At 36.4% G+C, this 13,738-nt stretch overlaps 1 protein-coding gene across 3 annotated transcripts in view, besides 15 other annotated features; it reads right to left on the bottom strand.

Moving 5' to 3' along the window:
- The window catches only part of NF1 (neurofibromin 1), a 282,699-nt gene that overhangs the window by 211,383 nt on the left and 57,578 nt on the right, over positions 1 to 13,738 (bottom strand). For all 3 annotated transcript variants that reach the window (NM_001042492.3, NM_000267.4, NM_001128147.3), the window contains exons 2-4: positions 10,167 to 10,310; positions 7,200 to 7,283; positions 2,917 to 3,107 (exon numbers count right to left, since the gene is read on the bottom strand). In NM_001042492.3, the coding sequence (NP_001035957.1) occupies positions 2,917 to 3,107; positions 7,200 to 7,283; positions 10,167 to 10,310 (419 nt within the window). The remainder of the gene's footprint in view (positions 1 to 2,916; positions 3,108 to 7,199; positions 7,284 to 10,166; positions 10,311 to 13,738) is intronic.
- Positions 3,851 to 4,098: a mobile genetic element, noted in NCBI's record as "direction; forward".
- Positions 3,851 to 4,539: a biological region, named in NCBI's record as "NF1 intron 3 Alu-mediated recombination region". NCBI's record gives its function as "recombination_partner: LOC108281181".
- Positions 4,051 to 4,087: a non allelic homologous recombination region, noted in NCBI's record as "UAB-7 distal recombination sub-region". NCBI's record gives the evidence for it as "EXISTENCE:nucleotide sequencing assay evidence [ECO:0000219][PMID:26189818]".
- Positions 4,058 to 4,077: a non allelic homologous recombination region, noted in NCBI's record as "UAB-11 proximal recombination sub-region". NCBI's record gives the evidence for it as "EXISTENCE:nucleotide sequencing assay evidence [ECO:0000219][PMID:26189818]".
- Positions 4,064 to 4,081: a non allelic homologous recombination region, noted in NCBI's record as "UAB-10 distal recombination sub-region". NCBI's record gives the evidence for it as "EXISTENCE:nucleotide sequencing assay evidence [ECO:0000219][PMID:26189818]".
- Positions 4,233 to 4,539: a mobile genetic element, noted in NCBI's record as "direction; forward".
- Positions 4,279 to 4,309: a non allelic homologous recombination region, noted in NCBI's record as "UAB-76 proximal recombination sub-region, recombines with the UAB-76 distal recombination sub-region within the NF1 intron 8 Alu-mediated recombination region". NCBI's record gives the evidence for it as "EXISTENCE:nucleotide sequencing assay evidence [ECO:0000219][PMID:26189818]".
- Positions 4,345 to 4,367: a non allelic homologous recombination region, noted in NCBI's record as "UAB-12 proximal recombination sub-region". NCBI's record gives the evidence for it as "EXISTENCE:nucleotide sequencing assay evidence [ECO:0000219][PMID:26189818]".
- Positions 8,318 to 8,615: a mobile genetic element, noted in NCBI's record as "direction; forward".
- Positions 8,318 to 9,284: a biological region, named in NCBI's record as "NF1 intron 2 Alu-mediated recombination region". NCBI's record gives its function as "recombination_partner: LOC108281169".
- Positions 8,568 to 8,604: a non allelic homologous recombination region, noted in NCBI's record as "UAB-7 proximal recombination sub-region, recombines with the UAB-7 distal recombination sub-region within the NF1 intron 3 Alu-mediated recombination region". NCBI's record gives the evidence for it as "EXISTENCE:nucleotide sequencing assay evidence [ECO:0000219][PMID:26189818]".
- Positions 8,568 to 8,605: a non allelic homologous recombination region, noted in NCBI's record as "MUW-1, UAB-1, and UAB-2 intron 2 recombination t sub-region, recombines with the MUW-1, UAB-1, and UAB-2 intron 1 breakpoint sub-region within the NF1 intron 1 Alu-mediated recombination region". NCBI's record gives the evidence for it as "EXISTENCE:nucleotide sequencing assay evidence [ECO:0000219][PMID:26189818]".
- Positions 9,005 to 9,284: a mobile genetic element, noted in NCBI's record as "direction; reverse".
- Positions 9,144 to 9,145: a non allelic homologous recombination region, noted in NCBI's record as "UAB-75 distal breakpoint sub-region". NCBI's record gives the evidence for it as "EXISTENCE:nucleotide sequencing assay evidence [ECO:0000219][PMID:26189818]".
- Positions 9,234 to 9,241: a non allelic homologous recombination region, noted in NCBI's record as "UAB-3 distal breakpoint sub-region". NCBI's record gives the evidence for it as "EXISTENCE:nucleotide sequencing assay evidence [ECO:0000219][PMID:26189818]".

Raw genomic sequence — 13,738 nt, 5'->3', positions numbered from 1 at the left:
ATAAAAAAACTGAAAACTATTTTTAAAAAAAGAGTAAGAAACCATAACGAACAGATTTGTATGGAACCAAATAGTAAACTGTAAAGAACCAAATGACTTTTAAAGTCATTGAGTTTTCTGCTTCTGGTGGTATATCAAATGAGATATTCTGAAGCACCTTCTCACTACAAAACAACTAGATCAACTGCATTTGTGGAGTAATTCTGTGGAGAAAGCAGTTACTCCGCTACATAAATACTATAAGCCACAGAAAATGGTATACTCCCAGAGAAAAATAAAGCTATCTTAAGATTTATAGCCAGCCAGGCATGGTAGCTCACATCCTGTAATCCCAACACTTTGGGAGGCCAAGGCAGGAGGATCCCTTGAGCCCAGGGGTTCAAGACAAGCCTGGGCAACATGGCAAGACCCCGTCTCTACAAAAAAATTAAAGAAACTAGCCGGGCATGGTGGCACGTGCCTGTAGTCCCAGCTACTCAAGAGGCTGAGGTGGGAGGATCTCTTGAGCCCAGGAGGTCGAGGCTGCAGTGAGACATGTTCACATCACTGCACTCCAGACTAGGTGACAGAGAGAGACTGTGTCTCAAAAACATAAAATAAATAAATCTATAGCCTATCTTCCCCTAAAGAAAAGTAAAGGTCAGAAATATAAAAACCAAATCTTAATCTTAAAGGAGAAACATTGACGGGGAGAATGGACAAACACGAAACATCTTCATGATACTGATTCATCTATTATATATAAAACATAAGATCAATCTTTAGAAAGAACTACCATTCAAGCCACACACATATTTTAAGTCACCTAATACTATGACGATGACAGCATAAGATGTTCCAACCTAAACTAAACCATCATAATGGTCTTTTAGGTGAGTGATCCTTCAGTAAGATCAGCTCCTATTTCTGACACAAGCTAAATGGAACTGAAAATGCAGTTGTCTGAAACAATGTTATTTCACAGATGCCATTTCTGAGTGGTCTGTCCTCTGAAAGCTAATAAAATTTTAGACACTTGGTTTCTATTCTGGCAACAGTGAACTAGATTCAGGAAATAAACAAAAGTTGCTTATTTTTACATGTGCTAATGCTGCAAAATCCCATAAAGTAAAACCTTTGGTGACTAGAAATTTTCTAGAATTTTCCAAGGTGGCACATTTGTTGTGTTCTATAAGGCAGTTCATGCATTGATAGACTACAAGACATTTGGGTTTTTTTGTACCACTTTCTACCTTTAATTTAACAGGTGTTTCAAATAGTAAGGCCGGCCTAGCAGTCACCTAAATGAAAAGGGTTTGCGTTTTTTATTAAATACAATTTTCCACCCTCCTACTCTCTAGGTGTTTGTTACCTTGCTGACTCAACCACTGTATTATTATTCATAATATAAAACGTTACTGCTCAAAAGATTTCATGAAAACATTTTTCTATCATGTAAATATTACCCAAGATTATCAATAATATACCATTAAATAAAACTTTAATTTTCTTTGGATCAAGAATTGCATTGAGGTTGAAAAATATTGCTGCCTAGGATCTTAATTATAGAAATGTCATTGTTGATTAAAAAGATTGCAGGACTCTGAAGTTAATCAATTCCCCCAAAAAACCGTAACACAAATTCTCAAATGGTGATGTATGTTGTCTTTCACACCTGCTGGAAAACAACAAAGGAATCAGTAAATCTGAATAATCAAAGTCCACTGTTCGTACAACACTGACGAGCCAAAGATGCAGGCACCAACAAAGAGGATTGTTTTTCTCTATTCGGTATTAGTCTTCGATTCACGAATCACTAAATAATTTGTGCTATAGTTTCTAATTAAGTTAATAACCCATCTGACTTTACTTGCCTTAGAAAGGCAAATCATGTGCATAACAACAATTTGCAGCTACTTGCTACTGTCACTTATAATTCTATCCCATAGAGCACTACCTATACTAATTTCTCCACCTGTAGGTAGCATATCACAACTAATGCTCAGGATGATTTTGAGTCATCAATAAAAGCTTAAATTATATTTTTGATACATCTTTAAAAACAGAAGTATATTTTATAAAACAGATTTCATCAAAATGTGGCTAAAATAGATAGGGAAGCAATCTGGTATAGTGAAACTAATATAAATTCTGAAGCCAGCCTGACTTAGAAATTTTGGGTCCTCCATTATTTGGCACATCACCTGAACTTTTTTGAGTATTAGTTTGCTCACCTGTAAAATGAGGGAAGTATCATCAAGGTTACTGTGAGGATGAGACAGCAAAGGAAATGCTATAAATACTCAATAAATGGCAGTATTTTACATACATTTAAAATGTAGTCCACTTTCTGGAGAATTCTACTTTGCAATTATTCACCTCCTTGTGTTTTCACATCACTTAGGTTTTTTTGTTTTTGTTTTTGTTTTGTTTTTTGGTAACCTAAAATCTTGTGATAAAGGGTAGAGTTGTGAAAGTATTTGAATTCTGACTACTCTCATTAATTATTCCATCTAATTGGGTAGTTTCATTTAAAGGGATAATATGTTTAAAAAGCCAAACCAAAAGTTCATACCTAGTATTGTTTTTTAAAGCCTGCTCACGGCAGATATTTTTATCTGAAATTTAGACTTTCACATTCATAACAGTGCTCTTATTTAATTGCACATATCAATATCACAATATTACGCAATTAAAATGTCAAAGATATTAATGCATAAAATTTCTACGCAAGCCCAGACAAACTCATTTCTCTGGAGGCTGAGGTAGGAGGATCACCTAAGCCTGGGAGGTCAAAGCTGCTGTGAGGGGCAAAAGAACTTGTCTCAAAAACAAAAAAACCTCATTTCCATTAACTTTTTATTTTTATGTAGACAAAAAACAAAACTTCTAATATTCATATTACTTCAGTAGTCCCATGTGGATTTACACACTAACCTGGTAGAAATGCGACTAAAGACTGCATTGAAGTTGTTGCAGCTGAGAGAAAATAAAACCCCAGAGGCAGAATTCCGAAGTTCAGCTGCATGCTGGTTTCCTTCACGACAGGTGTGAAGAAAATGGCAGATTTCTGGCAGCAACTGTTTGACCAGCATCGTTTCATCTAATCTCATTGTGTCCTTTGGTTGCTAAAATAGAAATAATCACATTATTCTAAACTTTAATTTTACCTGTAAACATTTTCTATTATGAAAATTTTCAAACACACACACAGAACAAAAATAATGAACACCTTACATACACACCACCTAGATTTAACAACTGTTAACGTTTCATCATATTTGCTACATCTGTCTATAGATAGTTTAATAAAGAGGATGGTTCCATCTCTGACCCCATAATCACAATTAAAGTTCAATCCCCCTGCCATCCTTACCAGTCCTCCCATTCCTGCTTGCTCTCTTGTTCACCAAACGAGCCCTTCCCTGGGAATCCCCAGTTTGCTGTGAGTTCTACAATTACAGAATCGACTTAATTCATATTGATTGATGAGTGCATTGTGTCATCTGTCTTGACATTTAAGTAAATTCCTGGGTGAGCCATCACACTTGCTTTTGTGCAGACTGACCAAAACAGACACTACCTACTCAAAGTAATTTTATTTTGGTTGAAATCTTTTCAAAGTAAATTATAAATAGAATACTTCACCCCATGTGCCTTGGCATCTCTTAAAAGAATTTTCTCTAATGTAACTTCAATACAATTAACACACCAAGGAAAAATAAACAATTCCCTTGTATCATCTAATACCAAGTCTGAATTCAAATTTCACCACTGCCCCCAAAATGTCTTTCATAGGCATTTTTATTCAATAAGGATCCAAAAAAGTTCACCGATTACAACATGATGTTTCCTTAGTTTCACTATTCTATGCAAGGGCGCAATCTCAGCTCACTGCAACTTCCACCTCCAGGGTTAAAGCAATTCTCCTGCCTCAGCCTCCCTAATAGCTGGGATTACAGGCGCCCGCCACCATGCCCAGCTAATTTTTGTATTTTTAGTAGAGACGGGGTTTTGCCATGTTGGCTAGGCTGGTCTCGAACTCCTGACCTCAAGTGATCCGCCCTCCTCGGCCTCCCAAAGTGCTGGGATTACAGGCGTGAGCCACTACGCCTGGCCCATATTCACCACTCTTATTTCCCATGACTTTAAGTGGGCCAGCTGCCTTACAGAATGTTCCATATCCTTGATTTAATTATTTTCCAGTGACATAGGTTGATTTGCTCTTCTAGTTACTGTATTGTATATTTTCGTTCTTTTTTTTTTTTTTTTTTTTTTGAGATGGAGTCTCGCTCTGTGGCCCAGGCTGGAGTGCAGTGGCGCAATCTTGGCTCACTCCAACCTCTGCCTCCTGGTTTCAAGTGGTTCTCCTGCCTCAGCCTCCCAAGTAGCTGGGACTACAGACATGTGCCACCACATCTGGCTAATTTTTGTATTTTTAGCAGATATGGGGTTTTGCCATGTTGGCCAGGCTGGTCTTGGATTCCTGACCTCAAGCTCTCCGCCTGTCTCGATCTCCCAAAGTGCTGGGATTCCAGGCGTGAGCCATGGTGCCCGGCCTGTATATTTTCTGTAAGCTAAAATTTAAACCTAATGGTCTGATTAGATTGAGGTTAAACAGTTTAGGGGATTCACTATAGGTTATATTACATCACACCATGAGAACATAAGGCCAGGTGGTCCTGTTATTGACACCAAGTTTGATAACTTCGGTGTTAACAGTGAAATCTCTACTTTGTAAATATATACTTTACAATTAACACACAATCAATGGATAAGCTATCCTGTAGGTATGCTGTTCCACATTACTATTTCACCTAACAGTCTTGATAACTACATGCGGATAAGAATTTTAATAACACTGAGCAAGATGGCAAAGAACAAAAATGTGTACAATTGTATGCTACGCTCAATTCTGTAACTGCAATCCAAGCACTCTCAGATGCAAATACACTGAAACATAGGGACAGTACATAAACAGACTTCACAAAAACCTGTGAATTCACATTACAATGCCTATTTCTTGTTTATAGGCTAACCAAACAATACAGATGTTAACTCTAACAAATAAAAATCTAAGAAGTATTAAATCTTTTAAATAATAGTCATATTCACAGGAACAAAAATACTTAAGATTCCTCAAATTCTACAAAATTGCACTCATAACATATTGGTAAGTATTTTTCTTTCACTTAAATATTCCAACTATGTATAACAAACGTATACTTGTGAGCTCCGTTCTTCTTAAACTGCCTCAATTTACTTTGATTTAAAAGTAAGAATCAAGAAACATCTGTAAAATCACTGAAGGAAATAAAACAATTGTTCAATAATATAAATAGCATTACTTTTTAAATAGTAAATTTAATGAAAAAGCATACACATTTTTCAACAGTAGAGCACGGCAAGATAATATACATTTTATGCATTACATAAGTTATACTAGGCCCACTTATTAGCATTTCAATTAGGCTATCTTCAAAGAGTATTAAATCAAACAGAGGCCAATAATATCGGTAATCATTCTCCAAAATACATTCATTATTACCTCTCAATTACAAATGTTAATGGAGAAAAGCTGTGAAACTGAACAAGGCAATATATGACCCCACGCCCCACCATTCAGTCATGGGTGTGGCTGATATACTGGTAATTTGCAGTCAAAGTAATAAGACCACTGGAAAAAACTGATTCAAGAAAAGTTTAAAATTTGCCCATCTTCCCAGTTCCATCATCCTATGTAACAGCTCTTTTGCTCTTTCACTCCATTTTACACATGAACAATAGCATATCACAAGTTAACGGAAAATACCATGCTAAAACAACTAGCTCACCTTCGATTTTAAGTAGAAAACTTATAAACACTGTCTCCACAATTTTGGAATATGGTCAACGGTCAATAAGAAAATTTAAAATATTATGCTTAGGGCAGGCACAGTGGTTCACATCTGTAATCCCAGGAGTTTGGGAGGCTAAAATGGGCGGATCACTTGAGGATAGGAGTTCAAAACTAGCCTGACCAACATAGTGAACCCCCATGGCTTATGAAAATACAAAAAAAATAGCTGAGCATGGTGGTACATGCCTGTAATCCCAGCTACTTGGGAGGCTGAGGCATGAGAATAGCTTGAACCCGGGAAGTGGAGGTTGCAATGAGCCGAGAGGGTGCCACTGCACTTCAGCCTGTGCCGCAGAGTGAGACTCTGTCTCAAAAGAAAAATATATATACATATTATGCTTACATTTTTTCGCTTACAGCCTTCCCTAGGGATACACAGTTGTGTCAATATAATTTTTTTTTCAATGCCCTACCCCAATGCTTCCACCAACACTTCTCAACCACACTATCAGTCCTCATATATTAAGGTCTCTTTCAACTAGTTTCACTATAGAGAACTGCAACATATGTGAAGAGGGAAGCAATTCTGAATCAAAACAAAATTCTGAATTCTGAGCCAAAGGAAGAGAGAACATAAGAAATGAGTTAATTTCAATACACATGGATTAGGCAGATCATTAAAACAGAGGTATTTAATTTATATATTTATATAAACTCTTACCATGTTCCAGGAAGAATTAAGGATAATGATGTATAGAAATACTTTCTTTACACAATAGAAATACTCTTGAAAAAGTTCAAATTAAGTCATGGTTGAAATACACTGTGGTAACAACTTACAGGAAACCAGAGAAATAATTGTTTGGTACTCTCCTCCTCCACATACCTATCGCATATTTGTGTGTCTACATAAAACAAGTGTTCTCAAGGTAACATCTATCCTTAATAGGTTTAATTTTTAAGTTCTCATTTACATAAATTTCAAAAGTAGAATATTAAAATCATATTCATATAGGAGGAAATACAAGATTACTCTTGGACTTCTGAATCGCACTCTCCCACAACTCTCTGAGAGATCCGTTAAATCAAATAGTGATCTCTTCATAAAATATTTTCCTAAAAACCTGAGAGACAGATACGTGGCTGAAACATAACATTTTATAAGTAAACTTAATATCTGTTTAATTTACAAAAGATGAGAAAATTTTCTCATGAAAAATTGTCTGTCACCAGGTCAGCTATATTAACAAAACTCATATTTATATGTCTCAGACAAAAGTCCATAGGACTGTCCTCTTGGTCCACATCTGTACTTTGGGACATAAGATCATTCTCAAGATCAAATTCACAAAGCCTGCCTACTTAAGATCAATTTACTTACCCCAGCAAGACATTTTTCCAGTGTATCCAATATAATCAACTGAGAGAGATATAAATTTTTTTCAGCAGCTTCTCCAAATATTCTCTAACAGAAAAGATATTCAGAACATAAAAGTTAGTTTCACTTTCTGCTACCAATCAACACACATCTGAAAAGTGAAAGACTAAAAGATCAACAATAGTCTTCCATTTTACCTCCCAGATTATACTATACTTAAATATATTATTTCTGATTTTATCCTAATCCTCATAAAAACTAAAGTCTAAGGCAAACAGAAATGGCATTTATTAGAGTCTGCCATTAACCTTGTAACAGTAAAAGATGCTGTTTTGCTTCATGCTTTAAAAATATGTAGGATTTAGACACACATATAGACCTGTACCAGAATCTTGAATTGGGGATTTAACTATACTTTTATGCCACGAAATGATCAAAGTCTTAATTTTTATAGCAAAAACATGCTATAGCACCACAGTGAATTTTAAGTACTCACTATCCTCAAAATGAATACTACATATGTATTTATTAACAAGAGACTATGGTTTTGAAAACTTATTTAATAAGCACTAAATGAACGCCAATATAACAATGCTGTTTTGTTTTGAAAAGAGGGTCCCAAATATTAAAATATTTCAATATAACTGGGAACACAGCCACATATTCATATGTGCAAATACTAAACTGTGCCCCACACACTGCAACAGAGGAGCTACAAAAAATGTTAAATGTCTTTCCGTAAATCTCTTTACCTATTTATAAATGGTCCTGCTTTTGGGGGGAAAATACTAATTTTTTCCATAAAGAAGGTAAATGATTTTCTACACCTCCAGTTTATTAGTTTTGTAAGTTTAGGGTATTGTGTAAGCAACTTTCTTAAAAGGAAACACACCAAGGATGATGCGAACAAAAAGTTAAACACCACATGCTCTCACTCATATGTGGAAGCTAAAAAGAGTAAAAAGTAGAAGAGAGGACACTAGAGGTAAGAAGGGTCGGGTAGGGAGAATCGGGGTGGGTAGAGATTTGTTAAAGGATACAGAAATATAGCTTTATAGGAAGAATAAGACTTAGTGTTCTGTACTACTGTAGAATGACTATGTTAACATTATATAGTTAACTTTTTTTTTTTGAGACGGAGTCTCACTCTGTCACCCAGGCTGGAGTGCAGTGGCGCATCCTGGCTCACTACAAGCTCCGCCTCCCGGGTTCACGCCATTCTCCTGTCTCAGCCTCCTGAGTAGCTGGGACTACAGGCACATGCCGCCACACCCCGCTAAGTTTTTTTTTTTTTTTTTTTTAGTAGAGACGGGGTTTCACCATGTTAGACAGGATGGTCTTGATCTCCTGACCTCGTGATCCGCCCGTCTTGGCCTCCCAAAGTGCTGGGATTACAGGCGTGAGCCACCATGCCTGGCCTACAGTTAACATTATATAGTTTCAAATAACAAGAGAATATTCAATATTCCCAACACAAAGAAATGATAAATATTGAGATGATGGATATGCTAATTACCCTAGTGGGATCACTATGTATTATATGTATTGAAACATCAATATGTACCCATAAACATGTACAATTATTGTATGCCAGTTAAAAATAAAATAGAACAAGAGAAAAATTATCTAAAATATGGGAATAAGGCAAAAAGGTAACTTCATGTCTTTTCAATGTCATACTAGAATATTATCTAATAAACCTAAGGACCATCTCAAAAAAAAGGAAGGGGGAACAATCTTCACAATCTATAACCAGAAGTTGTTTCACAACTCAATACAAACAAATACAAACTGGGATTATAAATGCAGGCTGGGCGCGGTGGCTCACACCTGTAATCTCAGCACTTTGGGAGGCCGAGGCAGGCGGATCACCTAATGTCAGGAGTTTGAGACCAGCCTGGCCAAAATAGTGAAACCTCGTCTCTACTAAAAATACAAAAAAATTAGCCGAGCATGGTGGCACATGCCTGTAATTCCAGCTACTGGGGAGCCTGAGGCAGCAAAATCACTTGAACTGGGAAGGGGGAGGTTACAGTAAGCCGAGATTGCGCCACTGCACTCCAGCCTGGGTGACAGAATGAGACCCTGTCATTCATTCATTCATTCATTTATTCATTCATAAATAAATAAATAAATGCTAAACACCAGCAGAGAGTTCAGAGTTAATCAAGAAAAATCCAGATCAGTTGCCATGAACTGAGTATGTTAGTTTGAAACAGCTTAGAATGGAGATGTTAAATAGGAATTTAGAGAGAGGAAGGGATCACTTGAGAAAGACAAAAGATGTTATATGTTCAAAGGTACAGAGGGAGGACAGCTGGAGTACTCTGAAGTCTAGGAAACGTCAATCGATTTTAGAAAATGGGAAGAAGAAAGAAATTATGAGCTTTTAACAGTGGAATTATTTGATGAAACTGGTATTTGAGAAAAACTGTTTCAACAACAGGGTAACTACTACAGAATCTGTCACAGGTTACAGAAGGAAGAAAAAACACATATCTTCATAAAAAAATCAATCCACATTTTAGGACTATGAGATCATATTTTATCATCTACTTAGGGCTGGGACAACCGTAAGTAAATTCAAACAAGATGCTAAAGAAAAATATGTGTAATGGATTACTGTGGTCAATTCGTGTAGGCCACAAAAGCTCTATGAAATCCTAATTCAAGAAACATACTGGAAAAGGAGACATGGTCACAAAAGATAGGAGATGTTTCTAAGGGAAATAATAAATTAAAATGAAAGTTACAGTTACTTGTGCTCACTGAATCTAAAACCCAGCTGATTAAAAATTTGACAAAATAAAATTAAAAGGTTATCTGTGCTCGTAAACAAAATAAGATTAATGGTTATATCCAAAGTCCACAGAAAATCACTTTCCATACTTCAAAATATGCTGTTCTAAACTTTTTAATCAAAAAGAAAAGAAAGCAAATTCCCCAAAACACAGTAACCCAAATACTCACCATATTGTTAACATTCTTTAAAATAGTAGTGAGGCCGCTTATAACCAAAGAAAACTTGTATTTGGAAATATTGATTAGACATTCCTTGTTGTGCTCAGTACTGACTTTGGTATGTGTGTTCTGCTGTCCTGTTTTTATTGGAAGCTGAAAAAAAAAGAAAAAAAAAACACGTTAACAGCTTATCCTTAAAAACGACCATAAATAACTTACTTGCCATTGAAAATCATGACGTTTTAGGAAAACTGCATCAACCACAGATACCTATACTTGCATCTCAAACTCCGATTTTCAATCAACCTCCAATATATGATACACAGATATGTACATTTGCATCTCAAACACCAATATATGATAGCATTTATTATAGCAAATCTTAAATTCTTTGGAAACTTCCATTTTTGCAGCTTTCTTTCTGGAAGTCATAAATCTCTATCTACAAAATAGAATTCTTTATCCAGCACTATATAAGAAGAAATGATGACTCACAGAAACAGAGCTATTTGCTTGTGGCTAAAAATTATTTCAGAGAATGTCTGCAATAAAATGCATACAACCGTTTCCCTTATCCATTGAACTCAAACATTAAAAGAAAAACAGATCAAGAAAATCTATGCCCTAGACTTCTTGTCAATAATGGCAAACAACTGCTGATTGTTCAGAAGCAAGAACAAACTATAAAACCTGGGGAAAAAACAGTAAGACTCACTCAGTAAGATAAGCACCCTCAGCTACACAATTGAAGGGATAACAGAACACAAGCAGACAAATCCCATGAGAAAAAATATTCTATGAGAAGACCACATTTACATTTCTCTGTGAATGAGTTAAGTTCCACTGTCTAGAAGTTCATCTCTACTCTGCTCAAAAATAGCATTCTGTATTTAAAGCATCATGGACATACTTACTGTTAATATTAAACCCTGCTAATGCTAACAGAGAAACCTAGCAATGTTCCTCTGTGAAAAAAACAAACCTGAATATAACTTTCTCATTTTTAACATAGTACAACTAAAGGTGGAAAGAGACCGAGGGGCATGCCCAAGTTTGCTAAATCAGTTAATAATGGACGATTATTTTGATAGTAAAGAAATACTAAATAGGCTGGGCACGGTGGCTCATCCCAGCACTTTCGGAGGCCAAGTCAGGCAGACCACGAGGTCAGGAGATTGAGACCAACCTGGCCAACATGGTGAACCCAGACTCTACTAAAAATACAAAAATTAGCTGGGTGTAGTGCCACGTGCCTGTAATCCAAGCTACTCGGGAGGCTGAGGCAGGAGAATGGCATGAACCCAGGAGGCAGAGATTGCAGTGAGCCGAGATTACGCCACTGCACTCCAGCCTGGCGATCGGGCGAGACTCCATCTCAAATAAAAAAAAAAAAAAAAAAAAAAGGAAATACTAAATGAAATTGGCGGGGTGGGGCAGCATTTTTAGAGTGTAAAGGAGGGGGCAGAACAGAAACTACAGAACTTCGTAATGTTAATTATAAAGATTATGGAGGAAAAAAACCTGAAAGGCCAAAAATGGGACTTTTGTTTACGAGCACAGATAACCTTTTTAATTTTATTTTGCCAAATTTTTAATCAGCTGGGTTTTAGATTCAGTGAGCACAAGTCACTGTAACTTTCATTTTAATTTATTATTTCCCTTAGAAACATCTCCTATTCTTTGTGACCATATCTCCTTTTCCAGTATGTTTCTTGAACTAGGGTTTCATAAAATGCAGCTGGTGAATCTCCCTAAGTATCCCATAAAAATCAGAGAAATGGCCAGGTGCGGTGGCTCACATTTGTAATCCCAGAACTTTGGGAGACCAAGGCAGGTGGATCACTTGAGGTCAAAAGTTCAAGACCAGCCTGGCCAACATGGTGAAACCCTGTCTCTACTAAAAATACAAAAAGTTAGCCGAGCGTGGTGGCACATGCCTGTAATCCCAGCTACTAGGGAGGCTGAGGCACGAGAATGGCTTGAACAGCAGGTGGAGGCTGCAGTGAGCTGAGATCGCACCACTGCACTCCAGCCTAGGCAACAGAGACTCTGTCTCAAAAAAAAAAAAAAAAAAAAAAAAAATCAAAGAAACTAGAACTTCTCTAGTAAAAACACAAACTGATGAATATCTACATGAAAATGAAGGGACAAGGTCCCTCATTCCCAAACCCAGAGAAGTGAACAAATAGAAACAAACCATTTATAGTTACAAAACTGGTTGGGGACATGCGCAATGGCTCATGCCTGTAATCCCAGCACTTTGAGAGGCTGAGGCAGGAGGACTGCTTGAGTCCAGGAGTTCAAGACCAGCCTGGGCAACAGAGTGAGACCTCATCTTTACTTTAAAAAAAAAAAAAAAAAATCTAGGCTTGGTAGTGTGTGCCTGTAATCCAGCTACTCAAGAGGCTGAGGCAGGAGGACTGCTTGAGCCCAGAAAGTTGCTGTGATCTAGCCACTGCACTCCAGCCTGGGCAACAGAGCGAGATCCTGTGTCTGGAAAACAAAAAACAAAAATACTAATGTGGTATAAGCATCTATGCAAGAGAAAGCAGGTGGAAGGAGAATGTCTAATGGATCTGACAAGAGGAGATTCCCAATGTACTGCATCCTTAATAAAAAGCACAGCAGCCCAATTTAGGAATATTAGCCAAAACAGAGGGTAGTTATGCTCATTGCAATTTGCAGATGAATGAAAAAGGCCTATGATAAAAGTCTCAAGAGAATGGAGCACACTCAAAAGCATCACTGTCTAATAGGATTTGCTGTGGTAATGATAGTGCTCTACATGGGCAATGCCCAATACAACAGCCACTAGTCGTCACATGTAGCTATTAACCACTTGTAACATAGCTGGTATAGACAAGAAATCAAAAGTTTAAAGTTTATTTAAGTTATTATTAAATAAAGTTTATTTAAATTTAGCTTTAAGTAGCCACACATGTAATTATTAGATCTGACTGGACAGCACAGTTCTAGCCCACACTGAGAAGAAACTGCTGAGAATGAACTCCAAACTGAAAACAGGGGTAAAGGGAGAAAAGGAAAAAGGTCCAAATAAAAATGAAAAAGAGAGAGATGAACAAGAGATCTCTGAAAGAATGAGACCATTTTTTTTTTATTTCATGAAAGTAAAAAAAGAATAAGCTCTAGAGACATAAAGCTACAAAGCTATCCTGGCCTACAAATCCCTCCTACCAATTCAGAAAAATTAATTTCACATAAAAATAAGCCAACAGAAAAGTTCTATGGTCAAATAATATGTAAAGTTATTATTAAGAAAAAGGAGTAAGAAACAGAAAAACATAAAAATAAGGGTCTAAACAACAGAAAATCAAAGTTTCCAAAAAGACATATCCACCAACAGATGAAAACTGTAAATTATTATTTCAAAGTGAGCCAAGAGAAATTAAGAAAATGACAAAAGATGTGGAATAACACAAATAAGAATTACAGATAGAAATAAGTTGACAGAACTCAAGAAAGAATTAGAAGATAAATCATTTCAGAAATGAAAACTAACCAGAAGATACATAAGAGTAAATTAACACAGAAGATAATGCTTTAAGAGTAAACAAATGTTG

The sequence above is a fragment of the Homo sapiens genome, chromosome 17, assembly GCF_000001405.40.
Source record: "Homo sapiens chromosome 17, GRCh38.p14 Primary Assembly".
Lineage (NCBI taxonomy): Eukaryota > Metazoa > Chordata > Mammalia > Primates > Hominidae > Homo > Homo sapiens.
The sequence above is the reverse complement of the archived record's forward strand: the minus strand, read 5'-3'. Positions and strand labels throughout refer to the sequence as shown.